The sequence below is a fragment of the Homo sapiens genome, chromosome 2, assembly GCF_000001405.40.
Source record: "Homo sapiens chromosome 2, GRCh38.p14 Primary Assembly".
NCBI classification, from domain to species: domain Eukaryota; kingdom Metazoa; phylum Chordata; class Mammalia; order Primates; family Hominidae; genus Homo; species Homo sapiens.
This window is the reverse complement of record NC_000002.12, coordinates 70665085-70691786: the sequence shown is the minus strand read 5'-3', so window position 1 is coordinate 70691786 and position 26702 is coordinate 70665085. Positions and strand designations below refer to the sequence as shown.

The following is a 26702-nucleotide window of genomic DNA, read 5'->3' as shown; positions in this document are numbered from 1 at the left end:
CATCAGCCCGTTTTCTCAGCAAAACACACTGGTTGTGAGCATTCAGACTTTCCAGAATTTGGACTAAGATGTGAAGATGTATTTGTGCTGAGCATGCATCTTTGCAGAGCTCAGGGCTGAGTCAGGGCAGAATGAATGAAGGAGGGCAAGGGTTCTTCTAAACCTCTCCATGCTCCTTGCTAAAAAAAAAAATAAATAAATTATTGCACACTCTGTCCACCATGAGCAGCTTACTTTTAATAAGTGGTGGGGGAATGTGTTTCAACCCTGGTCCCCAGCACTTGTATTGTCCTAGTTCCAGGGGCAAGAGATTGCTTTTGAAGTGGGACCTTTATACTGGGCAGCAAATAATTTCATTCATTTTAAAATGGGACTTTTCAATGGGCCTCTCTGTTTGTTAAAAATTGTGACCTAGTCTGCACTGAAACCAAAGCTGAGGGTCTCCAGCCTACCCCAAGAGATCTGGACTCTGCTTACCCTAGCCTCGTACAAACTCCACCACAGCCTGCCTCTTCCCAGAGTTGTATGACAAGAGCAAAGCTGTGTGTGAGGTGGGGGGAGTGGGAGGGGCAGCAATAGGTCTCTGGAGTGCATTCTTTCTAGCAGTTCTAAAAGGTGATATGTTGACATGGCTGCTGTGAAAACAGTGATGGAAAGACACTAGAGCAAGCAGCGTGACACAACGCCCAAGCCAGGTGGTAGAGGAGCCCAGGCCTTTCTTGTGCCTGCTCCCCAACCTCACCCCTCACTCCTCACCCCTCACCCCTCACTGGCCCCCAGAGTAGAGCTGGACTGTGCTGCTCTGAGGAAAGGGCAGGGAGGGCTGCAGGTGCTAACCATGCCATTGTCTCTCTAAGGTGTCGGCCATGAAGTGGGGCCTCCTGCCTGTCTCCCACAATGCCCTGCTGGTGGGGGACATGGCCTATTATGACTTCAATGGGGAAATGGAGCAGGAAGCCGATCGGATCAACCTGCAGAAGTGCCTTGGACCCACCTGCAAGGTTAGCTTAGCTCTTCTGGGACAATAATCTAGAGTGGCATTGTCAAAAGCCAACATCACAAAAGTGACATATGTTCATTGGACAATAAGGGAGGGAGAGAGGGGGGAAAAAAAAGAAAGATCTCTATCCCACTACCCTGAGATTTTGCTGTGTACCCCAAATATATTGAAATTTATATTTGCAAAACTAGGATCATAAAATAAGTTGTTTTCCCTCAGCAATATATAGTAATTACCTTTGTATGTTATTAAATATTTTCTCTATCACCATTTTTAATTATTAAATTTAATTAAATTATAGCACAACTATTCACAGACTTCATTATGGGAATAGTTGTGCTATAATTTACCTGAATACTCTTCTGTGGTTGAACATTAAAAGGTATTTTTCAGCTGGGTGCAGGGCTCATGCCCGTAATCCCAACACTTTGGGAGGCCAAGGTGGGTGGAGCACTTGAGCCCAGGAGTTCAAGACCAGCCTGGGCAACATGGCCAAACCCTGTCTCTACAAAAAATACAAAAATTAGTGAAGCTTGGTGGTATGCACCTGTGGTCCCAGCTACTCAGGAGGCTGAGGTGGGAGGATCGATTGACTCCAGAAGGTGAAGGCTGCAGTGAGCTGTGATCACATTGCTATACTCCAGCCTGGGCAACAGAGTTAGACCCTGTCTCAAAAAAAAAAAATTTTTTTTTTCTTCCTGAGTTTTTTCTTAATAAAAACAACACATTGATGAAAATCCTGTCAGCTAAATCTTTGTGTGAACTTGAGATGAGTTTCTTAGGATAAGTTCCTAGGGCTGCACGGGCTAGAACTCTCACTTCATGCCGCCAAATTGCCCCACACGGTTTGTTCACTCTTCCACCCCATGTCTAGGATATGAGAGTGCCACTTCCCTGCAGTCTCCCCAAACTTGAGTGTTGTCGCCTTTATTTTTCCACTAGCTTGCAAGAGAAAAATGGAATCTTGTTGTTGCTTGACTGAACTCTTGAGCCCTGTTTTATAACAGCACATATTTGGGGATGGTTAGCTCAGTATGGCACAGCCACGGAGGCTAGTCTTGGTTGATGGATGCTTTGCCGCTGTCCTGGCAAGGAATGCACTGCCTGAATCATTTCCCATGAGTCCCTGTCTTCTCATCTCTAACACAGTGAGGTATCCCACCTCTCTCTCCTGACATCCTCCAGAACATTATTTAGAGTGTGGGGAGAGGGATGAAATATTCACATCTACGAAGTGCTACAAGAATTTGAGAGATGGGGTATTCATTGTTTGTAGTACTTTTTGTGGGCCACAGCCATCGTCTCTTTCTGTTTCTCTGGCACTTGAGAGGAAAAAATACCAGCTGTTTTCAACAGGAGAGGATGTGATGTTTAGAGCCATCAGGCTTCAGCCCAGGCTCTGCCTGGAGACAGATCTGACACATGGATCTGTGTCCCAGCTCCCAGGCTGGTGTCATCTGGTTCCAGAGAGTTCTTGAGAGTAAAACCAACGAAGAAAAGTTTCAGAGGGAAGATGCAGTTGAACTTTGGGGAGTTGTGCTCTTGGTACAAATTCAGTTTGGGTTCCCCCACTTTTACTCAGCTTTCCCTGACTGAGTCTAAAACATTGCACTAATAGTGAGAACCCCTGGCTTCTAGTTCAGATGCTTCCCCTAATTAGCTGAGAGACTTTCCGTTTTTGGTTTTTTTTTGAGACGGAGTCTTGCTCTGTCACCGACTGGGGTACAATGGTGCGATCTCAGCTCACTGCAGCCCCCAGGTTCAAGTGATCCTCCCACCTCACCCTCCCGAGTAGCTGGGACTACAGGCAGGCCCCATCACACCCAGCTAATTTTTTAATTTTTGTATTTTTAGTAGAGACGGGGTTTCACCATGTTGGCCAGGCTGGTCTCGAACTCCTGACCTCAAGTGATCTGCCCACCTTAGCCTCCCAAAGTGCTGGGATTACAGGCGTGACCCACCACGGCTGAGACTTTTAGTCTTTTCAGGCTTTTATTTTCTTTTCTATAAAACCGATGAGTTAGATGAGAAGGTCACTGTGGCCTCTTTCTAGAGCTGTGAGATCTCAGAGCTGACAGGGCCTTGTTGAGTTTATGGTGCAGAAACCTAAGACCCAAAGAGGTGACGTGACTCACCTGTTTCTGTAGGGCCACCTCTCAGAGAGCCGCCCCCTGGGTTTTGACTCCCACGTCAACTAAGTCACAGGAGCAAGAGATTGCTATTGAGGTGGGAACTCTGTATTGGATAGCAAACAACTTCATTCACTTTAATATACACAGCAGTTTTTCAAGCTTCTAAGCTTTCCAAGGCCTAAAAACCCAGGCATTGCCTAAAGAAATTGACCAAGCTATTTAGTCTCAGTTTTAAAATGCCTTTTCAATTTCAATTTTTAAAATGCATAAAAACCCAGGCGTTGCCTAAAGAAATTGATCAAGCTATTTAGTCCCAGTTTTAAAATGTCTTTTCAATTTCTTAGGGTAGATGCTTTGAGTTAAAATCCCATGTGGGGTAGCTTTGGGGTATTTGATTAGAGAACATAAGGAGTTGGGAGAAGGGGCCCTGGGATTGGTTGTGGAAGTTGATCTAAATAAAATGGAAAACCTCTCCCTCTTAACTAAAGTTTAGAGGACTTAAGGTTTTAATTGACTATTTATTTCTCTACAGATCCTGGTGCTAAGAAACCATGGAGTGGTTGCTCTGGGTGACACGGTAGAGGAGGCATTTTACAAGATCTTCCACCTGCAGGCTGCATGTGAGATACAGGTGAGCAAATTCTCCTGGAAAGTGGGCCCAGGAGTGGGCTCTGACAGGGGCCTGTGGGCAAACGTGGTGACCCTGTTGGCTGTGATTCAGGGAGTCTTTTGATCCCAGCCATCTAAAAGCCTTGCCCTATTTCTCTGCCTTGGCACCATCTTATCCTTCTAAAGTTTCACACTTAGGATTAGTTCTGTGGCTTTGAAAAATGCATCAACATTGTCTAACAAGCAATAAATACCCACTTCTTAGGGGTCAGTGCCCAGTCTGGGGAGCTGCCTGGGCTCATCAACTGGACAGTGGGAGAAATTGTAATAAGGCAAAGAAATTTTTTACCATGCTCATATGTTACGTGGGGTATACCTGTTGCACCTATGCCCAACAGACACACAGGTAGGTGTTTGTTTGTTTGTTTGTTTGTTTGTTTGTTTGTTTGTTTTGAGGGGAGGGGGTTGGTTTGCAAAGGCCAGGGACATGGTCACGTCCAGAAAAAGAAGCGGAAAGCAGACCAATCAGAGTGTTGACGTGGCAGCCTTAACAGCCAGAGCAACCCCAAGTGATATCCAGGAAGCCATCATGAAATCCCTAACCGGGAAGGGATGGAGAAGACAGTAGTGTCAGTGATCAGGGAACCCCCTAGAGGAGTTGGAGAAGCAGTAGGAAAACAGACAAACCTGTAGTTGTATAGACAACAAGGTGGTGTTGGATAAGCCAAGCACACACTTTTCAATGTGGCAAGTTGGTCAGGGGCAGGTAGGGGGCCTTGCACAACCCTGAAAAGACCTTATTAACCAGACCAGGCTGACCAGGCTCCATCCTCCCCACTCTGGGCTGTGTGCCCTTGGGTAGAGGACTTGCCCTGCTTGAGCCTCTGTCTCCTCAACTGTAGACGTGGGGCCCAGCGGGTCACTGTGAGGACACAAAGAGGGGTGTTGCTGATGCTATTTTTAGGACTCAACTGACATATGGAGGCCCGTTGCTCCTGGATGAGTCAGCTCTTTGCCCAGCCCCTTGGTGTCCCGTCCGCCCTCTCCTGGCTGGCCTAGGCAGAGCAGCACCCAGAGGAAGAGGTCTTTCTCTTGGAGGCACTCTGGGGAGATTGAGATCTGCCTGGAAGTGTCGCTGGTGGAGGCTCTGCAGTGGGACCTTTTCAATCGTTTTAAAAGGATATGTGGTGAGGATAGCTGTGAAGATAATGATGAAGTATTAGAGGCAGTGGTCAGAACAGGGGCAGGTGGACACAGACCCAGCTGGTGCCTTTCTGATGTGATGTAGCGCCTCCGGCTGCTGCCCAACCAAAGATTCTGGCCCTAAGCTCTGACCACTGACTGGTGGAAGAATCTGGTGGAGCCTCTGGGATACCGGGAAGCTACTCTCCCTTTCCCACATCTGAACTCTTAAGAGCTCCCTATCTTCCTTCTGGAGAAGATTCTTCAATAAGAAAATATCTCCTGTAAAAACATCATCTCTGCAAAGACAGCTCAGCCCTAAAAATGAAGGGAGAGGGATGCCCATGTGTCGCACCACCCCACATGGTGAAGTATGCCTCTCCCAGGATCCAGAACCCCAGAAACAGTTTCTGGGCAGTTTCAAGGGCAGAGCTGTGGGCTTCTGTACCTGACAGCCCCCTTCCCTCAGCTGCTATCACTTTCGTTTCAGGATTGGTTTGCTGAGACCTTGTTACAGGACCTCAGGCAATGCAGACAGATAACCCCGGGCAAGCTCCAGTGACCTTTTTTTCCCCCAGCTGGTAGAGCAGAGAGGCTTCTAGAGACGGGAATAGAGCTGGAAGATGTGGAAGAAAAAAGCAGGAAAGCCTAGAGGAGGTGTGGGTGGATCAGGGCATGAAAGAGCCTAGGTAACAGTGACTGCAGGTGCCGCTGGGAGCGCAGCCCTAGCCAGGTCATTTTTGGGTGAAGCGGCCAGCACTGAAGCTCTGTTTCCATTGTGGGCCAAGTTTTCTTCCTTGGTGACCTTGGCAAACAAGCGAACGTGGCTGTGGTCATGTTAGTAGTTCAAGGCTGAGAGCCTATTTATTTCTCCTGGGGATGGTGTTCTCTCTGATCCCCATCAATTTGGGGTTCCAGGAAACTGGGTCATCCCCTGCTGAGAGAGGCAGCTCCCTGCTCTGCCGACAGGCAGATGGGAAGAAGCTCAAGCAGTTCTTCTCCATCTGCTACCCATCACCATGGAAACTGGGGGAGGAAGAGGGAGGTGGGAGGAGGCAGCTCTTGCAAGGTTGTGGGCAGTCTCTCCCTCTCTTCTTCTCCATTAAGTATGGGTCCCCAGGGAATAGCGCTTCTCAAAATTCATTCATTAGAACATTATACTTCACCCCATATGTACCAGGTGATACACTAAGTGCTTTAGATCTATTACCTTAAAGACTTCTCACAAGGTAGGTTCTGCTATTTTCATTTTAGAGGAAACTGAGGTACACAGATGGTAAATAGCTACTAAAAGTCACACAGTTGGTAAGTGGCAGAGCCAGGATTCAAACCTGGGCAGCCTGGTGCCCAGGTCTGTGCCCTTAAACACTACCTGGAGAAGCGCTGCCTCACCAGGACTGTGAGGGGCAGTGGGAGAAGTCTGTTTATCTTCTGCTAGACACATGGCTTGGACGAGAAGGGCGTAGATAATATTCTTGCTTCCTTCTCTTCATAGGGTGACGGGGGTCACCTGGGAGGGCTGCCTGGCTGACCTCAGAGAAGTATCACAGGGGCATTTGTTAAATGATGAATTTAACATACTCTAAGGTCTGTCCCTGATCCTCTTGGGTTCATAGACCTGCATTTGTCAGCAGGTTAAATTGGATTTTTTCATTTCCAGTAAAAAATAACTGTCACAAAAATACTGAAAGTTTGCATAATTAAAGCAGTTTCCCATAACAAGCAGGCTAACATGGGATATCATATCTTATTGGAATGCTAATATAATAATGTGCAGTGCAGAACACCTGGCTCACCACCTGGACTATTCATAAGCCATTGTCTCTTTATGTAGCTAGATTTGTCATCCAGGAAGCCAAACCCTAACCAATTATATCTGAGTGGTAGATACATGAGGGTAAATAGAATGTACCATTAGATAAGCACAGAATTTAAAAAAAAGGGGATTTGTTAGATTAATGAGTGTTTTTTAGGATCATTCCAAAATTGCCTGCTATATACACACACCTCTTGTCCTAATACTCAGAGTCCATTGCCTACAACCACCTGCATTGCCCTCCCCATGGAGCCTTGACAATGAGACAGACACTCTAAGTCCATGTGTGGGAACTCTCACCCCTGCACAGTGCTTGGCTGTACACTACAAGCATTTTATCTGTCTCCTTTCTCTGGGCTTCCTTGACTGACTAACCCCATTGTGGAGAATGTATTTTTCCTTTGGACCTGTGAATTCATCCCATGAGGTTACAAATAAATTTCATTGGCTTGGGAGCCAGCCTATTTCTTTCAAGTGACTTTTAAAAAAATATAGGAGAGGTCAGCAATGGTGGTTCATGCCTGTAATCCCAGCACATTGGGAGGCCAAGGCAGGTAGATTGCTTGAGCCCAGGGGTTCGAGACCAGCCTGGCCAACATGGCAGGACTCCCATCTCTACAAAAAATACAAAAATTTGCTGAATGTGGTAGTGCACATCTGTAGTCCCAGCTACTCAGGAGGCTGAGGTGGGAGGATAGCTGAAGCCTGGGAGGTTAAGGCTGCAGTGATCCGAGATTGTGCCACTGCCCTCCAGCCTGGGCAACAGAGACACTGTCTCAAAATAAAAATAAAAAAAAATAGGAGATATTTCAAACATACAGAAAAGTGCAGAGACTAACATAATAGACACCCATACCTACCAATCAGATCAAACATATTCATAACCTCTGGCTTCAAATCTTGAAGAACAAAATATTACAAACAAGAACTGAAGTCCGCTTTGAAGTCCTTTCCTGTCTCATCTTCCCTCCCTCCCCAGATACAATCACAATTCTAGGTTAGTCTGTATCCCAGGTAACTTTCAGTCCTCTGTTTTGATTCTTAAGGTTTAATGCTTGCTGTTTCCTTCTTTATAATCTCTAAGAACTGGCATCAGAAAATAAACTAATAGCTCTTTTCTTGGAAATGGGGGCATGCCCATCAAGTATGGGTGGCTCTTTCTCAGTTTGGCCTCTAAGTTCTCCTCTGGACTCCCCATTCTCTCATCACATACAGGAGCATAGATAAGTGCAGGGTACCCATGTGCACATGGGCTGAGGGCTCTCTGCTCTTTGCTACAGGTGTCGGCTCTGTCCAGTGCCGGGGGAGTGGAGAACCTCATCCTCCTGGAGCAGGAGAAGCACCGGCCCCATGAGGTGGGCTCCGTGCAGTGGGCCGGGAGCACCTTTGGGCCTATGCAGAAGAGTCGGCTGGGGGAGCATGAGTTTGAGGCCCTCATGAGGATGCTGGACAACCTGGTGAGTCTCCTGCCATTGCCCTTCCAGGCCAGTCCATTGAGGCTTAGCCCCCTGGAACCAGGAAGTACAAGGCATCAGGTGGGCACAAGAATTGCCAGCATCACAACTAGGTTGTTGAAGCCTCATTGATGGGAAATTTGATTTAGAATGTGTGGTTATTCTAACAGTAGTTGAATTTTTGTAAACTGTGGACTTTGCCACCCACAACTAAGTGCTGTGGATGTTCTCATATCTGCAGTGTCCTCTATGAAAAGTCGTAGTCCAGGCCGGGCGCAGTGGCTCACACCTTTAATCCCAGCACTCTGGGAGGCCGAGGCAGGCAGATCACAAGGTCAGGAGATTGAGACCATCCTGGCTAATGCAGTGAAACACTGTCTCTACTAAAAAAAAATACAAAAAATTAGCTGGGCATGGTGGCACATACCTGTAGTCCCAGCTACTCAGGAGGCTGAGGCTGAGGCAGGAGAATTGAACTGGGAGGCGGAGGTTGCAGTGAGCCGACATTGTGCCACTGCACTCTAGTCTGGGTGACAGAGTGAGACTCTGTCTCAAAAAAAAAAAAAAAAAAGGTCATACTCCAGTAAAAACTGGGACACAGAGCCTATCTTATACTGGGGCTTTGCTCATACCTCTTATATAGTTAGTTCTGTCTTTCTGTCCATTTCATGACTTTAATACAGAAAACACATAATACTACTAATTTCCTTAATCCTAGGCAGCACCTTTGTAACAATATCCTATTGTAATGAATAAATGAACCAATCAGTCATGTAAGGAATTAAACTAGTATGTGTCTAGGAGTGGGCTGGCTCTTCAAAGGATACAAAAAAAATTTTAAGACATTCTTTCTTCTTCTGAGGGCTAACAATTTAGCTGATAATATGAGATATAAACAGGTGACAATTCAAGAACAAGAGGAAAGCATATGCAATGAGGAGCTAATTGCATAAGAGGCTGTAACTTCTTAGATTGCTCAGAGAAGTGAAAGATGAAATCTATCTTTATAACATTCCATCTGATTCATTTTTCCCATCCTCACTGCTACCATCTTGGGCCTTCTTTATCATGTCAAGGTTATGGCAATAATTAATACATTTCTCCCTGTCTTCAGTTCCTCCAAATCATCTCTACTTTGTTACCAGGCTGACCATGAGGGCCGCTTTATAATAATGAAAGGTACAATCCACAGTGAAAATGCAACTCCCATTAACATTTGTATGCTGAGTAATCTATGCCTAAAGAAAGCACCGCGACTAGATGGTTTCATACAAGAATTCTTTCCAACCTTTAAGACACAGATAATTCTGTTATTTAAACTCTTTCTGAGAGGAGTGAAAAAAGAATACTAAGCCATAATAATTGTAATATATTTAGACCAATTTTTCTTTGAACGTTGATGAAAAATGCTACATGAAAACTAGCAAATAGTATCAAGCCTAATAGTAAAATAATAATATACAATAACTGGTGGCTCATTCCTAGAATTCAGGGATGGCTTAATAATATCAATCTATAAATCTTTTAAATGTATTTCATGATATTGAAGCATCAAAGGATAAAAACTTTTGATCTGTCCAGTATGGTGGCTCATACCTGTAATCTCAGCACCTTGGGAGTCTGAGTCAGAGGTGGATCGCTTGAGCCCAGGAGTTCAAGACCAGCCTGGGCAACATAGCAAGACCCTATCTCTACAAAAAATACAAAACATGGCCAGGCATGGTGGCATGTACCTATTAAACTTTTAAACAAAACAATTATTCTTGGTCATAGCACTATTATTTAATATTATTCTAGAATAATATTGGAATTCAATCCAAGGCAATGAAGCATAAGAGGTATAAATATTATAAAGGAAAGGAAACTATTATTTACAGATAATATGGTTACATGCCTATAAAGTCCAAAAAAAAAACAACTGAAAAAATATTAAAAATAATGAGAATACTTTTGTAACTACCTGACGGGTTCTTCCTGCCCATTGCACAAGCAAATTCAGTTCACAGAGACCATGGCATTACAGTAAAGAGAGAGTTTAACTGATGCGAGGCTGGCCATGCCATGCAGGAGACAGACTCAAATCAATCTCACTGAAGCCTCAGAGGTTAGGGATTTTTCAAAGGGGGTTTTTCAAAGATTCCTGGTCTTAAACACTTGGGCTCAAGTGACTCACCTGTCTCAGCCTCCTAAGGTGCTGAAATTACAGGTGTGAGCCACTGTGCCAGGAAGATTCAAAGATAGTTTGGTGGGTAGGGGGCTAAGGTATGGGTGATACTGATTGGTTGGGGATACAATCATAGAAGTGTGGAATATGGTCCTCGTGCACTGAGTCTGCCTGTGGGTAGGGCCACAGAACTGACTGAGTCCCAGAGCCATCCAGTTGTCAGAAATGTGAAAGCCTGAAAAGATACCTCCAAAGGCCAATTTTAGGTTCTATAATAGTGATATTATTTACAGGAGTAATTGGGGAAGTTGCAAATCGTGTGACCTCTGGAATAATAGCTGGTAATTATTTAACTATGCCTACATTTTAGTAAAATTCAGGCCCCTTTCCTCTTCCTAACTTGGTGGTCTTTCATCAGTTTTACAAGGATAGTTTAGTTTTTGGGAAGGGCTATCGTCATTTACACTATAAACTAAATTTCTCCTGAAGTTAGTTTGGCTCACATCCAGGAATGAGCAAAGCCAGCCAGCTTGTGAGGCTAGAAGCAAGATAGAGTACTGTCATAATTTTGCAAAGGTGATTTCAGTTTAAGGTGGACAATTATGCAAATATATACAAAAATCAGTAGTTTTTGTATCTTAACTACTTTGAAAATATAATAATGGGAGAAAATAATCCTATTTGCAAATGGATCACAATCATAAAACACTAAAAAGCATAATCCGTGTTTTTAAAACCATAAAACTTTATTAATAGACATCAGAGAAAACCTGAAGTCAGTGAAGAGCTATAATTTATTCTTGGTTAGAAAGCTTCAATAGGGTAAAGAGGTTACTTCCCCAAAATTAATCAATAAAGTCAATGGATTTCTTTCAAAAATGGGGGAAGGTATGAGGACTTGACAAAATATCCTTCCATGTGAAATTCAGAATGGCTAGGGCAATGTTATAAAAAGAAAAGTAATTAGGAATACTAATTCCACCTCATGACAAAGTGTGATAAAACTTTGGCAACTAAATGGCGTGGCACTAGCAGAATGGATGTGCAAAACAATGCAACAGCTTAGAGAATCCAGAAATAGATCCAAAATATATGAGAATTTAACACAGGAAAAGCAGGCACTTTATAAATCAGTGAGGGAAAGATAGACTACTTGCCATCTGGGAAGGAAAGCTAAGGCAGATGCTACTTCATTTATTTCAACAAGATAAATTCCTGGTTTGTCAAAATGGTAAACATAAAAAGTGAACTCATAGGGGTATTAAAAAACATAGACTTATGTTTTTGATGCCCTTGTGTTAGGGAAGACTTATCAAGCACGGCACAAAAGGCTGCAATCTTGACAAATATTAATAGATATGATATTAAACAATTCAAAACTTGCATTTCTATAAGCCACTCCCCCACCATAAACAAGGTAAAAGACAAAGTATGGAGGGAAATATTTTCACCATCTATGATAGTGAAAAAATTAATATTCTTAATTTACAAAGAGCTTACAAATCAATGTGAAAAACAGAAACATCAATAGAAAAATGGGCTGAGAACATAAACAATTTACAAAGGAAAATAGTTAAGTAGCCATTATATGTAATTGGAAATATCCATTTTACTAGTATCAAACATATATGGACACACATGTATATGCATAGAGATATGACTGGAAAGGTTTTTAGTGATTGTCTCTGGGGTGAGAGTTTGCATAAAATTCCGTTTTTTCCTTATTTTTTTTAATTTTGCTTAATTTTTCTACATGGATCTGTATTTCCTTTATAATCAGAAAAATAATGTCATTTTAATTTAAAAATAAAAGAAGACAAAGAGAGCTGAATATTGCTCCAACAGCTGCCAAGATTCCAGAATGTTTGTTCTCTCCAAGAAGCAGTCAGCTCCAGCTTTGAGGGGATGTGGCCTTGCTTAGGAGACAGGAATGTTCTTGAGTCTGATTTCAGGGTTCCTAGAAGGAAATTGTTAAGAAGTTTCACAGTCAAGGAAGGGAGGGGTGACTGTTAAATCAGCTGGGAAGCTTTTAAAGATCCTGTAGCCCAGGCCACACTGTGATCTGATTAAATGGGCAACTCTGCATCAGGGCCCAGGCATCAGTGTTTGTGTGAAGCTCCCCCCGTGATTCTAGTGTACAGCCAGGGCTGGGAGCCACTGGACCAGAGGAAATCTGTGGCTCCATTTGGATGAGGAGCTCTGTCTATCTGGTCCACAAAGGTCTAGGGATTTTCTCAGCCCTGATCAGAGGACTTGTTGGGGTAGAGAAAGAGAGGGGATGGGGGACCAGGAGGAGGGAACAGTTCTGAAATATACCAGAAGAGTGGAAAGCCTAGATTGTTTAATGGAGATTTGGGTTTACATGAAGAGTCCTTTAAGCAGACGGAAGGAAAGGTGTGTGTGCATGTATGTGCAGGTACAGGCCTTTTTTCTCACCCCATAAGTGGTTCTATTTTTGTCCTTTATAGGGCTACAGAACAGGTTACACGTATCGCCACCCCTTTGTTCAAGAGAAAACCAAACACAAAAGTGAGGTGGAGATTCCAGCCACGGTCACAGCCTTCGTGTTTGAGGAGGACGGTGCCCCGGTGCCCGCCCTGCGACAGCATGCCCAGAAGCAGCAGAAGGAGAAGACCCGCTGGCTCAATACGCCCAACACCTACCTGCGGGTCAATGTGGCCGATGAGGTCCAGAGGAGCATGGGCAGCCCCCGACCCAAGACCACGGTAAGGGGGAGCCCAGGACAGACCCGGGCAGAGAGGGGCAGGCTGCATTAGCAGGGTGAAGCATTTTTAAAACGGGAACAGAACAAACCTCTCCTGCCCCAGGTTAGTAGCATCCTCTTTGGGCTTCCTATTAGGCCTCTGGGAGCAGCTGCTCAGGCCCACTGAGCCCCTGACCACTTCTTCCTTGCACCTCTGCCTGAGTTTTTGGGTCTAAGGAGCAGATTTCTCCAGAGGGCAGTTGGACCAGGCACATGACCCAGAACCAGTTGGTTTGTGCTTCTTTCTCCCACATCCACAGGGGGCTCTTGGGAAATTCAAGGGAGGAGCATTTAACATTGGGACTTCAGATCTGATGCAAGCCCAGGAGGTGGGCTGTACAGCCACTTCTATGAAGTTATATTTTCTCTCCCTGTCCCCACCCACAGGCTCTCAATTTTTTATTAACATAAAAGTAGCCAACAGCCAAATAGAATAGCTCTTCATAAAACAATATGAAGCTCTCCAAACTCAAATCAAGTTACCTAATACTGAAGCCCAAGTGGTTGCCTGTGTATCAAAGCTGGTTCCCAAGGTTCTGACCCCAACTCTTGGATGTTCTTTATAGCCGACCTTTGGCCTGAGGGCCTTCATTGGTAACTGGGTCATCTGTTGCCATTCTCTGCTCCTGGAGACAGACATCAAAGAGGCCTAAGAAGAGAGAGTGTCTATGAGTAGGCTTGCTGACCTTCCATGCAGGATGTTGGGCCCAGATCTCGTGGGTGGACCACTGGGGAGGACTCATGGGCCTGTTCCCTCACCTCAGCCCCATGACCTTGTGTTTGTGCAGTGGATGAAGGCTGACGAGGTGGAGAAATCCAGCAGTGGCATGCCGATTCGCATCGAAAACCCAAACCAATTTGTGCCTCTCTATACTGACCCCCAGGAAGTACTGGAGATGAGGAACAAGGTAAGTGGGGTCTGTTTATCCCACTCTTTCTTCTCCCACACTGGGGGGTCTCAGGTCCCACAAACAGGAGCTGAGTTCCCAGGATGTGCCTGACTCGCTGACATCTCACATGCCTCACAGGAGAGAGAAACTACCATTGACTGACCATGGCCCAGGTGCTGTGCTAAGCGCTGTACTCCTGTGGTCCCGTAACCCTTTACCTAGAGCACAGCTTGGTTTACACACCAGCTGTCTCTGAAAGTCCTGCCCACAAAATGAGTTTTAATAAATTTTATACCATTTTCCTTTTGGCTTATTGGCAATATTTCAAGATTGCTGTGTTTGTTTCCGGACTTTTGCCTGACAGTTCACTTGCGTGTATTTTTAATGTTACTTTAAAACTGCAGTTGTAGCAGGCACCTCTAACAGATCAGATCGCTCACAGGATAGTGTGGCAGTGTGTGGACCCGGATACCCTACAGCGCTTGTTGAAAGTTGAGATTCCTGGGTCACCCTCCTCTACCACCCTCCCTCCCTCTCCCCTCTCCCCTCTCCCCAGATATTCAGATTCAATGGTGGGGGGTGCCTAGAATCTGTATTTAAAACAAATTCCTCAGGGGCTTCTTAGGATCAACTATGCCTCATTTTACTTTTCATAGTTTACAGCTCCTTCTGGTTTCATGAAAATCTGGTGCTTTACATAAATTGCTAATTCACCCTGGAACAGACTTGGAGGCCCCCCCTTAAAGTACAAGGATTGCATTAGGATAGGTGACGGGCTCCCACACCGCTAGAGGACCTTTCTAGACCCCAGGCACACCCGTATGCCCCCTCCCAAACTCCACGCTGACCCTGAACAGCCAGCTCACTCTTCCTCTCCCCTTTCCACACAGATTCGAGAACAAAACCGACAAGATGTGAAGTCAGCGGGGCCTCAGTCCCAGCTCCTGGCGAGCGTCATTGCCGAGAAGAGCCGAAGCCCGGTAGAGCAGAGGCTGCCCCTGACTGGCGGGGAAACGTGTTTGCCTTCGGGGTCTTCTGTGCCTGGGGCTGGGTTGCAGGACCCCTGAGTCCTCATACCCACCTTCCCCTGTGATCTTGGGTGCCGGTGCTCTTGCTGCAAAATGGAGGCCAACCTCACAGGGGTGCTGTGAGGACCAGGGAGGACAATGTCTGATGGCCCCTGTGGGCACTGGGCTGGAGAACAGCAGCCCAGCCTGCCTGCAGGAGTGATGCGGCCGGCTTCCGTACCTCCTGCCATGGAACTCCACTCTGTCCTCCCTTACTACCCCGTGAAGTGGGGACTCATAGGCTTGGGGCTGGAGACTCCCAGGTGCCCCAGGTGTGCCCAGCCCTGAGAGTCTCTGACCTCTGAGCCTGGTATGACATCATCCAACCAGAGCTCTGGAAAGATGATCATGTACCCATAGAGAAGGGGTATATAGACAGGACCCATGCTCCTACAGGATGGGAAGGGACAATATTACCCACACAAACCCACATTGAGTTAGAAAGTATTGTAATTGTTTTTGTGCTTGAGATAGAACAGTGTTTTGTCTAGTGCTTAGCAAAAGGGGTGAAGTTCAGAATTCTGGCATGTGTTTGAAATCACTGCTGCTCCTTGCAAGGTAGCAATGGGCATGACATTTTCCTTAGCAGTAAAAATTGGGGAAATACAGGAAATGTTCCTCTCTGCAGGGCAAATTGTGATGATGCAATGATTTCAGGTCAAGACTGCAGCCCACAGGGTGGGTGCCCATTGGCAGGAGAAGTGTGAAAGTTGTATCATCACACTTACCTCCCCCCAACCCCAACTCAGCCAAGATGGGGAACACTGAATATCCCGCAGGGTCAAGTATAGAAATAGCCATGTTCTGGCGGGAGGTGAGAGTTCATTACAATGAGCAACACTGTTAAAAAAACAAACAAAAATCTCCCCTGCCATTTATACCAAGTGCTCTTCTCGGAGTCCCTCTTCTTGGGTTTTTGGTCTTGGATTCTCGGTTGACTCCATGATTCCCTACATTAGGCCTACTGTGGCCTCCCTTTTGGAAGGGGCCCAGGGGCAGAAGACCTGGCGGGCCAGGGCAGGGAGGACTGGCAGCCTCCAGGCTCACCTCCCTTTGGCTTCACTCTCTTTGCTCCTCAGCTTCAGAGCACTGCATCCTCAAAGGCCAAGATGAGGATGCTGAATTAGGAAAAAAGGCTGTGGAGTCTGAATTTTAGTTCCTATCTTGGGCTAGAGGGGTCAAAGAATTCCTGAAGCTTATGTAAGGGCCGGCTGGTCAGCTCCCTAGAACCACGGGCTCCACAGAGGTGGCAAAACCCAGTGATTTTGCCAGTATCCCTGCAGGGACCTGCGGTACAGGCAGGTTGAAGATCTGAGACTCAGGAACCTTGGCCCCTTTGTCACTTACAACTGTGTGTGAAACAGGACTAACAGTTTGGACTGAGAGCACTGAAGCTGCTGTGTGTTGTGCATATAACTTAATGCTGTGTGTTGTGGCTTGCACTGCTGTGGGGGCGGGGAGGGCAGTGGTGGGGAATGGCTGGCATGAAGCTTGCTTGAGCCAATGCTATGCTTGCTGGGCTTTGGCTGACTGGCTTTGGGCCACCAACTGTATTTGCATAGTGATGGCTTGGAAGTGTCCATAGAAGGGATTGCAATAAAGGTGTGTCTTCCTTCTGCTCGGGAGCATCCTTTGATTTTATTTCAGGGGCAGACTGTGGACCCCCTATATTCATCCAGCCAGTTGCAAAATCTAGGGGTAAGGTAGCAATGGGGAGGAAAGAACAATCCCTACCCCAAGGCCCTGAGCTGTTTCCAAGGAGCTGCATGCCACGCTGTCCCTAGCAAGACCGCTTGCAGCCACATGAATCTAAAAGGAAGCTGGGGCCTGCACCCCAACTGCGGCGTTCAGAGAGCGACACACCCTCTGTGGTTAACTTTCAGTCTACAGAGAGCCAGCTGATGTCCAAGGGAGACGAGGATACCAAAGACGATTCAGAGGAGACGGTGCCCAACCCCTTCAGCCAACTCACTGACCAGGAGTTGGAGGAGTACAAGAAAGAGGTGGAGAGGAAGAAACTAGAACTTGATGGTAAATGACCCTGAGGCACACCCTTGCTTCCAAGTCCCCCAGGGTGGAGGGGAGAGCTCAGGACTACCAAGAGAGGACCTTCCTGCCCCATCATCAAAGAATATTTCTACTGTAGTTCCATTAATCACAAAAATGCCCTTCATTGCTCTGTTCCTGACAGTTACTCGGTGCCTTCATGACCTCACTTGACCCTCTTACCGGGCATAAAGGAGTTAATACTTGTAATGTGCTTAGAGAAGTGCCTACAAATATGGCTTAGGCCAGTAAACACCAGATCAATTTTAGCTATAATAATGATCATAGTCATCATTATTATTTCCCACCAGGTCTACTATAAGCCTTTTAGCCTGGCAATCAAAACCCTCCACCAGCTGACACCTTTGTGTCTTTTTCTCGCTCCTTTATTTCAGATTCTTGAGTGAAGCCCATCTCTCTGTGTTGACTCCCAAATATTCACTCACAGTAGCTTGTATGCCCTTGTTCCTACCTTTGTCTCTTCCTGGCATGGTTCCCCTTCTTGGCTAGCCTGATCAGTCCCGGCTTCCTCTCAAACCCCTCTCCAGCTAGGAAGGGCCTCCCTGTCACCCTCTCTACTCCACCCAAATTGAGCTGTCCCTTCTCTTTGCTTCCTGACCACTTGGGGTCTGAGACACATAATTCAGCTTTTGGTTGTGTCCACTGGGCTAGACTGACACTCCCTCAAGGCAGGGTCTTCTTCCACCATCTCCATTCCTCACCCCAAGTCAGCCACCTTCCTGGACACAAAGCAGACACTTAAAAAACCCTTGCTGGCCAGGAATGGCCTGTAATCCCAGCACGTTGGGAGGCCAAGGCTGGTGGATCACCTGAGGTCAGCAGTTCGAGACCAGTCTGGCCAACATGGTGAAACCCCGTCTCTACTAAAAATACAAAAATTAGCCAGGCATGGTGGTACACGCCAAAAATCTCAGATACTCAGGAGGCTGTGGCAGGAGAATTGCTTGAACCCAGAAGGCGGAGGTTACAGTGAGCTGAGGTCACACCACTGCACTCCAGCCTGGGTGACAGAGGGAGACTTCATCTCAAACAACAACAGCAAAAACCAAAAAACCCTTGCTGGCTTGCTTGGAGCTCTAATGTGCCAATTGAAAAGCAAATAGAGGAACATGGCACTTTTTATCCCTAGGGATTGTTTGGACAGAAAATGTAAATTTGATGAATTAAACAATAGTTACATGCAAAGAAATCATGGGTGTTTTTAAGGGGAGTCAGCAAAAAATAAAATAAGGGGAGTTGGTGGTTGTGGGTCCACCTCTTACCCGTTGATGTGCTCTGTGCTCACGACACAAAGCTCCTGGCTGGTTCTCTTCAGAGACAGGACAGGAACGAGAGCCAGGCTCTGGTCCGGCCGTGTGCGAGTTCTTCAGCGTTGCCCTCCACATCTGGAGTAACATATTGGTAGGTGTGTTTTGATGAAGGAAACATGACTCCACCCTCTCCCATTGGCCTTCCCAGGGAAGTAGCAGAAATCTAAGAAGGTCAGGGGGAGGAGCTAACTTCAGCTAGAAGTCTCATTATCAGCCAGGAGGATTGATGACCAAATAGAAAAAAGTAATTTTTAAAAGGCTTTATTTCCCTGCCCATCTCTTCTCTATTTGACCTCTATCCTGAGGTGTTTTTCTGTTTTTTCAGGAGAGAAAGAAACTGCCCCAGAAGAGCCTGGCTCACCTGCAAAGTCTGCACCTGCTTCTCCAGTGCAGAGCCCAGCGAAGGAGGCAGAGACAAAGAGCCCTTTAGTCTCTCCTTCCAAGTCTTTAGAGGGTGAGTCCAGCTGAGTAGGCTGGGAGGGAGGGAGAGGGGTGCATCTGCAGGCTGGGAAGGTGCCCTGCCTTCCACTCGTGTTGCCCCTAATCTGAAAATCTTTCCCCTCTGCTATTTCTAGGAAATCAGAAATAGGGGTTATCAAGTTTCATGTTGTTTCACTCACAAGCTATAACACTACACCTTGCAGCTTAAACCCAGTATAAGCAATGAAGAATAAGTTACTGGCTGGCCCCCGGCTCCTTGCCCCAACTCAGACATGGCCGGGGCTGTTAGGCCTTTCCAGATGCACTAGCCCCTTTCTCAGACCTTAACGTGTATAGGTACCACCTGGGGATCTTGTGAAACTGAAGATTCTACTTAGTAAGTCTGGGATGTGGCCTAAGATGCTGAATTTCCCAGGTGAGGGTAATGATGTCATACTCAACCTTAACCGCACATTGGAATCACTTGCGGAGCTTTAACCGTCTTGATTCTTGGATCCCATCCCCAGCTTTTCTGAGTTAAGGAAAACTCAGAAAAGTCTGGAGTCAGGTGGGTTTAGGAGTACAGCCTGGAGTTTTCACGTCTCTCCAGGGGAATCTAAAGTGTGTTCCAGGTTGAAAACAGCTTCAATAGAGAGCTACTAGCTTAAAGAACGGAGTTCGAGGCCCAACTGAACTGCTAACTAGTAATAACAGCTAATTTTAGCAAATCAGCATCTCTGAGCCTCAGTTTTGTTGACTGTCAGATGGGGCTACTCATATAGTCCCTTTTTATATATGTATAAGGGAAGTGTAGGTGAAAACATACTTTGAAAGAGTAAAAGCAGGACTTAAATAATTTAAGATGCAATTACGGTTATGGTTAATAGTATACATAAAGTGGATAAGAATTATAGTTCCTGGCCACCTAAATCATAAAAGTATCTTTACTGAGCTCCTGGAATCACTCCAGGGCATGCACACTCCATCCCAGGTCCCCGGAGACCCCCACCAGACAGAGCTGTCCTGCTACCCAGAGAGCAGAAATCTGGTGGCCTATTGGAATCTTCTCCCTCTGGAGTAGAACGGCCACACGTGTGGATTCTGATAGAATCCCCCAACCCTGAGCTCCCTCCACAAGCAAACTATTGCCTCCTGTGCAGGCCCAGTGTTGCCAGAAGAAACCCGTCTGCTTGAGGCCAGAGCCCCAAGTGGATGTACCCCGACTGTTGTGTTCATTGTGTCTCACTGTGGTGTTGTCAACCTGTCTCCACAATGTCTTCCTTTCTCTTCCCATTTGTGCCTTCATCAAAGGAGTTTCCTCCGATTCTGAATACTTGTCTCTGTAGTAAGTATAGAGAGGCTGTTTACTAACTCACTGCAACCCTTGCAATGGGGGAGGGAGGATTTTTTTTTTCAAAAGAAATAGATTTCTCCCCACATTTTTCTTTTGCGACTCACAACTCTGCCTTTGGGAAGTTTCCTGGCTGTAAAATTCATGGCCAATTCCACATGCACTATGCATGGATTAGGCTTCTCTACATGAGATGTGGATATACACACATAGGCCACACACATACACAAACACACAGGCACACACGCCCAGAAGCAACAAGCTCCCAAGAGTTTGCAGGCAGTAGGGCCAACTCTCGGGCACTCCCGGTGGTAGAGTGCTTACGGCTCTCAGGCGCTCACTCCTACCCCTCTTCCTAATGCACAGGCACCTTGAAGGAACCTGTGGCCTCATCTAGGTTTTGGGCTAGAGCCTGAACTGCCTTATAAGGATGCATAGAGGGCCTGGTCTGCTAGGGTCTTCAGGACATGTGTTCCAGCTGCAGGAAGGAAATCCAGGGCTGGAGAGGAGGCTCATGGAGGAGTGGGACAAGGGCCAGGAAGGGCATGCAATGGGTGGGGTAGCTGTTTACCCACTGCCTGACATTTTACACCCTATAGCAGGATTCTTCATTCTTCCCCTGGAGGGGCCCACGGTTGAGTTGTTAGAAGAGTTGTCTTGAAGATACTTCCCATAACCCACTTCCTATAACAGACAGAGCTAGGGAGCATGGCACCTTGGAGCAGACCCTGCATGACGAGGACACAAGCTGTAGTTGGGTGGGGAGCCCGGTGTGAAGCCTTGGCCAGGCTGCTCACAGGCTTGCTGGACTCCTGGGCAGACAGAACTGACCCACCATGCAAGTCTCTGCTCTTTCACATCTAGCCCACCCATCAGATCAGGGATGGCTTTTTCCAACCATTTGCCACCATGTCCTCAATTCTCTTATGCTGAGTCGCCTCAGTGTCACTCCTCATCTGTCTACCTGACTCCTACCCCATCAGCCTCTCTGAAGGCTGGCCATCAGAGAGAGCCTTTGCATCTGGTCATCTGTGCTATCACCTTCTCTTTAGCTCCTGTCAGACCCTTGTCCCAGCTCACCTTATCCTCTGCTGAACCCTCAGGGCAACTGGCTACGCCTGCAAAGAAATAGCCCTGTATTTGACATCACATGATCACATGATCAGCTCTGCCACTAACTAATCTAGCCATCTCAAACAAGTCATTTAAAAACACTGCTGGATGGGAATAACATGAATCTGCCTTTCCTAACCCACAGCATGTTGTCAGGATAAAATGAGCTACTGAATATAAAAGTACTTTGTAATATGCTTTACATAAGTTAGTCCTTTTTATCTACCATGTTCTCCAAATTGTGAGAGCTAATACAGTACTTGATGTTTTAAGCCACTAAGTTTTAGGGTGGTTTGTGATGCAGCAATAATATTTGATTTAAGTCATGGTATAGAATAAGAACTAGTATTACGGAAATTAGTTCTTTTGTGGGTTGACTGGGGTTGTTGGGGCTTAGCTGGATGATTTCTAATTGATGTGATATCTGCGGAGGGCTCCAGTCAGTAGGGAGCTTGACTAAGCTGGAACTTCCAAGATGGTGCACTTACATGCCTGGTACCTTAGCAGGGGCAGCTAGAAGGCTGGGCTCAGCTGGGACACTGAGATGGCTGGGTGTCTGTCTGTCTGTCTGTCTCTCTGTCTGTCTCTCTCTCCCTCTATGTGGTCTCAGGGCCCACCCATGCGGCCTCTCTACATGTTTTTCCATCAGGGTTGTTGGACTTTATACATGGTGGTATAAGGCTCCCAAAACTGTGAAAATAGAAGTTGCTAGGCCTTCTTAAGTCTTTGGCCTGAGGCCTGCTTTGTGGATCTTCCACTGCATTCTATTGGTTTTGCCAGCCACAGGGCCAGCCCAGATTCAGTGTGGATACCCGGAGGGATAGCTCATTGGGGTCATATTTGCACACAAGCTCTACCAGATACTGAAAGTATATTTGGGTACTTAGAGGAACATTTGTATCCTAGCTGTGGTGAGTGGATGGGAGTCACAGAGTCCACTGCATCCATTTATGAGAAGCTCTACTTTCTTTTTTATCAGTGGTACTCTCAGTTTTTGGGGGTAAGTAAACGTCGGATAAAGCATAGCATTCTAAACTTATGTTTCTCAATGTGTGGCTAATGGGCCTTTTGTATCAGAATTACCTGGGGACTTGTTAAAAATCTCTATTTCTTGGTCCACCTTCTGTTTCAGTTTATTGTGAGGACAACACTAAAGAAGATGCATTTTCACAAGCTCTCTGGGTGATTCTTTCAGACACGGATGTTTGAGAATTTAAACCCAGACAGAAACTCTGTTGCAAACCTCTCTGCGTGGCCAGCATCCAGCTCAATGGTCGGCCATGGGCAGCTCAGCTTGTTGCTCTTCTTCCCCTCTGCTCTGTTCTTTGAGCACCCGTGGGCCTTCTTGACTGTTGCTGCATGAGTGCCCAGCCCTTGTGTCAACATAGGACATGTTTTTTTTCAAGGTCTTTAATGAATCTCTCTATGACCTCTCTATGCAATGGTGTGGCACTGCCTTTTCAAGAGAAAAGTAAAAGCTGTACATGGCAGTGACCAGTTCTCCTTGCATTTGGAATGTAGGTCAGGATCCATCTGATTGACCTTGTGTTCAGAAGCGCGTCAGCAAATCCTGTTTCTAGGCCCTCCACTGGTGTCTTCCCTGCTGCAAAGAGAGGGCTTCTCAAAGCTGGGGGGCTTGAGGCAAGAGGTCATGTGTTTGAGCCTGAGATGTCAGCAGGCAAGAGAAGGAAAGGCAGCCTTGCTCCTTCAATTATGCAAGGTCCATATTCCTTCTCCATGTCTTTACCCCAGTGCACGGCCACAGAAGAGCCCAGCTGCTGAGCTGATACAAGGCATCCTCTGTTGAGCCTTCATCTGACCTCACTTGGCAGACGTCAGCAGCAGTAAACATGGCTTGAACATGTTGTCACTGAGCTGCATGATGATTGTTAGAGACGTAAAAGAGTTTCTGTCATAAACAGTGTACTTGGGTGATGAATAGACTCTCAAAAGAAAAAAAGATAAATGACACATGCAAGTGTAAAATGAATATGTGAGCAGTGGGTTTACAGGAAGGCGAGCTCATTGTCCAATGTCAGGGGAGGCTGTCCAGATGCAGTGTGGCTTGAGCCAGACCTTGGATAGGTACATGCTTGGAGCGGCAGACAGGAGTGGCATGGGCTGTGCAGGGGTGGTGCCTAGGAAGCTGGGGGAGCTGGCATTCCTGGAAGGGGACTGTATTAGAGTTCTCCAGAGAAACAGAACCAAGGGGATATATAGAGAGATAAGAGGAGACTTCCTAGGGGAATTGCCTCATGTGATTATGGAGGCTGAAGAGTATGTTGTCTCCAGGCTCTAGAACAGGAAAGCCACTGGTGTAACTCAGTCTGAGTCTGAGGCCTGAGAACCAGGAGCTCTAAGCTTCAGGGCAGGAGAAGATGGGTGTCGCGGCTCAAGAACAGAGAGAATTTGCCCTTCCTCCACCTTTTTGTTCTATGTGAGAGGGCCCTAAACAGATTGGATGGTGTCCAACCATGTTGGTGAGGGCAGATCTTCTATATTCCGACTACTGATTCAAATGCTAATCCTGGACGGGCATGGTGGCTCACACCTGTAATCCCAGCACTTTGGGAGGCTGAGGCTGGTGGATCGCCTGAGGTCCGGAGTTTGAGATCAGCCTGGCCAACATGGTGAAACCCTGTCTCTACTAAAAATACAAAAATTTGCTGGGCGTGGTGACATGCGCCTGTAATCCCAGCTACTCGGGAGGCTGAGGCAGGACAATCACTTGAACCCGGGAGGCAGAGGTTGCAGTGAGTTATTGCACCATTACACTCCAGCCTGGGTGACAAGAGCGAAATTCCATCCCCCCACCAAAAAGCGAATCTCTTCTGGAAACACCCTCACAGACACACCCAGAAATATTGTTTTATCAACTATCTGGGCATCCCTTACCCAGTCAAGCTGACACATTAAAATTAACCACCACATGTTCATTGGTGGCCAAGACACAGCCAGTGGTTGGAGGCTGTGGGCTAGTGAGAAATCAAGTTGGAGAGGCAGTGTGTCCAAACCAGCTCTGCGCCTCCCACAGAAGCCCCCCTCCTCCTCCAGCCTCTAGCAGCCTTTTAGTCCTTTGTCTCCCAACCCACAGGGTCTGGGTGTGGGCCCTGACTTCAGAGTCCAGTCTCGTTCCCGTCACCTGTTCTCCCATTGCCTCCTGTCTCTCCCCCAGCTTTCCAGTCACCATCCTTGGACAGAGCCCCCATTTTCCAGCTTCTGCCCCACTCTACTCACCCCCACAATATCCCCTATTCCCAGAGCTCCAGGTTCCCACCATTCAGGAGATAAAGTCAAAGGTTCTTCTTAGAAGAGGCTAGAAGGTGAGTTCCCATCTGACCCTAGTTCCTGGGGCCTCTCCCAGCCTGGTTTTCAGCCTGTTGACAGAGGAGGGGTCTAGGCTATCAGAGCCTGTCCTCAGTACTTTCCAGGGGCCTAACACATGTTGATTTCTGGAGCCCTGTCCCTTCTCTTGGCCAGTGGAACCCTCCAGTGGTCTCTGACTCTATAGTTGAGGGAGTGGTGACCTTAGTTGGGAACCTGGCTCCTCCAAGCCCCATTTTCCATTTGCTATGACTCCTCAAACAATTCATGATGTGGAACCTCTCTGAATCATGGCAGATGCACCATCTGTGGCCCCCACTTTCTACATGGTGAGAAGAACCTTGGGTGTTGCTCTCCTAAACCAGACACACACCAGGGGCTGAGGCTGTTGCTTAGGTTGACAGCAGGGCAGGTATGGGCAAAGGGACATGGATGAGGGGCATGGTTGAAGGAGGCCATTGGAGTGAAGATACTCATTGCCACCAGGCAGGAAATGACACTTGGACAGAAAGTGGGAGCCCCTCTTATCCATAGTTGTCTTCACGGAGCTAGAAGGCAAGTGCCCCAACCATCTTAGAGGAGAGCGCCAAGGGTCAGTCTTGAGAAATGCATCCTAATGTATCATCCAAGTGAAGGCCCTGCAGTGAGGGTCTAGTTTGAAGTTGCAGAGCCCTGGAGAGCCCAGGAAGATGAGAGGGAAGACCAGGGCATAGGTACAGGAGACAAAGGCCAGCACTCAGGGCTGGTGTTCATTTACATGAGTGGATCCAGTTCAGCTTAGAAGGCTCAGGCTGGGATAGATAAGAAAAGATTAGGTGATGATATTGGCTTGGTTAGAATAAATCCATTCACATATTCATTTATTTGCTCATGCCTTCAACCATTCATGGATTCCACAGACCTTTTCTGAGTGCCTTCTGTGAGCTAGTGACATAGGTCATTAGACACAATTTTGCCCTAATTCATTTCAGTGTAGAAGGGGGAGGAGATAGGCATAAAAAACAAGTGTGGGCTGGATGCAGTGGCTCACGCCTGTAATCCCAGCACTTTGGGAGGCCAAGGTGGGCGGATCACGAGGTCAGGAGTTCGAGACCATCCTGGCCAACATGGTGAAACCCCATCTCTACTAAAAATACAAAAATTAGCTGGGCTTGGTAGTGGGCACCTGTAATCCCAGCTACTTGGGAGGCTGAGGCAGGAGAATTGCTTGAACCTAGGAGGTGGAGATTGCAGTGAGCCGAGATTCCACCATTGCACTCCAGCTCTAAGCGACAGAGCAGGACTGTTTCGGGAAAAAAAAAAAAACAAAAAAACAAGTGTGATCGTTTTGCAGATGCTGTGATGGAAGTTTAGATAGCAGAGGCAGAAAGGAAGGAGTGATAAACTCTACCTGGAAGTGGGAACGAGGATCAGGAGAGACTTGAAGGAAGAAGTAACACTCAAGGTGATTCATTATATGGAGTGAAGGCTGGGGACACAGAGGAGAGAGAAGGGCCTTCCAGAGGGGAATGGGCTGGGATGACAGTGAGAGGTCCAGGACCAGCAGCTTGGTATGGCAGGAAGCAGGCGAAGTGGGAATAGGAGAGTGGACAGAGAGATGGTTGTGTCCAGCCTGGTTTATGGCACTCAAGAGTACTGCCAAGTGATGGCCACAGTATTACGTGGCGGGACGGGATGGGACACTGGATGAGGATGACAGGACATGGGCTGGGCAGTGGGAAGACTGGGAGCAGTGGCCAAAGTCTTTGATACCAAGAGGGAGCTGGTGCTCCGCAGTGGTCTGGAGGGGGCACTTTGACTTGCCCAGCAGTGTCAGGAGTTGCAAAGACTTTGTTACAGGGAGATCTGGCCCAGGTGGTTCACTAGTCCACTTTAACTGTCCACAAGTTACCCCACTCTGTCCCATCCTCCATGTAACCGTGCACTTCCCCAGACTTCACCCCTGTTAAGACCCCAGGCTTCTCCTAAAACTGAGTCCTTCACTCGCTCCCTCTGTAACACTGACTATACCTTCCACATCACCCACGATTCCATACACC

The 26702-nt window shown here is 46.9% G+C and overlaps 1 protein-coding gene and 1 long non-coding RNA gene across 7 annotated transcripts in view, besides 1 other annotated feature; one reads left to right on the top strand and one right to left on the bottom strand.

Moving 5' to 3' along the window:
- ADD2 (adducin 2) overlaps positions 1-26702 on the top strand; it is a 111417-nt gene that overhangs the window by 76414 nt on the left and 8301 nt on the right. For 3 of the 6 annotated variants that reach the window (NM_001617.4, NM_001185054.2, XM_011532502.3), the window contains exons 8-15: positions 858-1001; positions 3665-3763; positions 8020-8196; positions 12826-13083; positions 13910-14029; positions 14902-14991; positions 16962-17109; positions 18781-18909. In NM_001617.4, coding sequence (NP_001608.1) covers positions 858-1001; positions 3665-3763; positions 8020-8196; positions 12826-13083; positions 13910-14029; positions 14902-14991; positions 16962-17109; positions 18781-18909 — 1165 coding nt within the window. Of the gene's footprint in view, positions 1-857; positions 1002-3664; positions 3764-8019; positions 8197-12825; positions 13084-13909; positions 14030-14901; positions 16697-16961; positions 17110-18460; positions 18547-18780; positions 18910-26702 lie in introns of those variants that run through there. The other 3 variants (NM_001185055.2, NM_017482.4, NM_017488.4) reach the window with 2 other exon arrangements.
- On the bottom strand, positions 11085-18532 carry LOC105374794 (uncharacterized). Its single transcript, XR_940230.3, has 3 exons — positions 18408-18532; positions 13605-13770; positions 11085-12314 (listed from the first exon to the last, which is right to left on the bottom strand). It is a non-coding gene; the product is annotated as an uncharacterized LOC105374794 (long non-coding RNA).
- Positions 12867-14066: an enhancer, noted in NCBI's record as "CDK7 strongly-dependent group 2 enhancer chr2:70904853-70906052 (GRCh37/hg19 assembly coordinates)". NCBI's record gives its function as "activates an origin of replication core promoter dependent on BRD2, BRD4, P300/CBP, MED14 and CDK7 cofactors, with strong dependence on CDK7, by STARR-seq in HCT116 cells {active_cell/tissue: HCT116}" and the evidence as "EXISTENCE:reporter gene assay evidence [ECO:0000049][PMID:35650434]".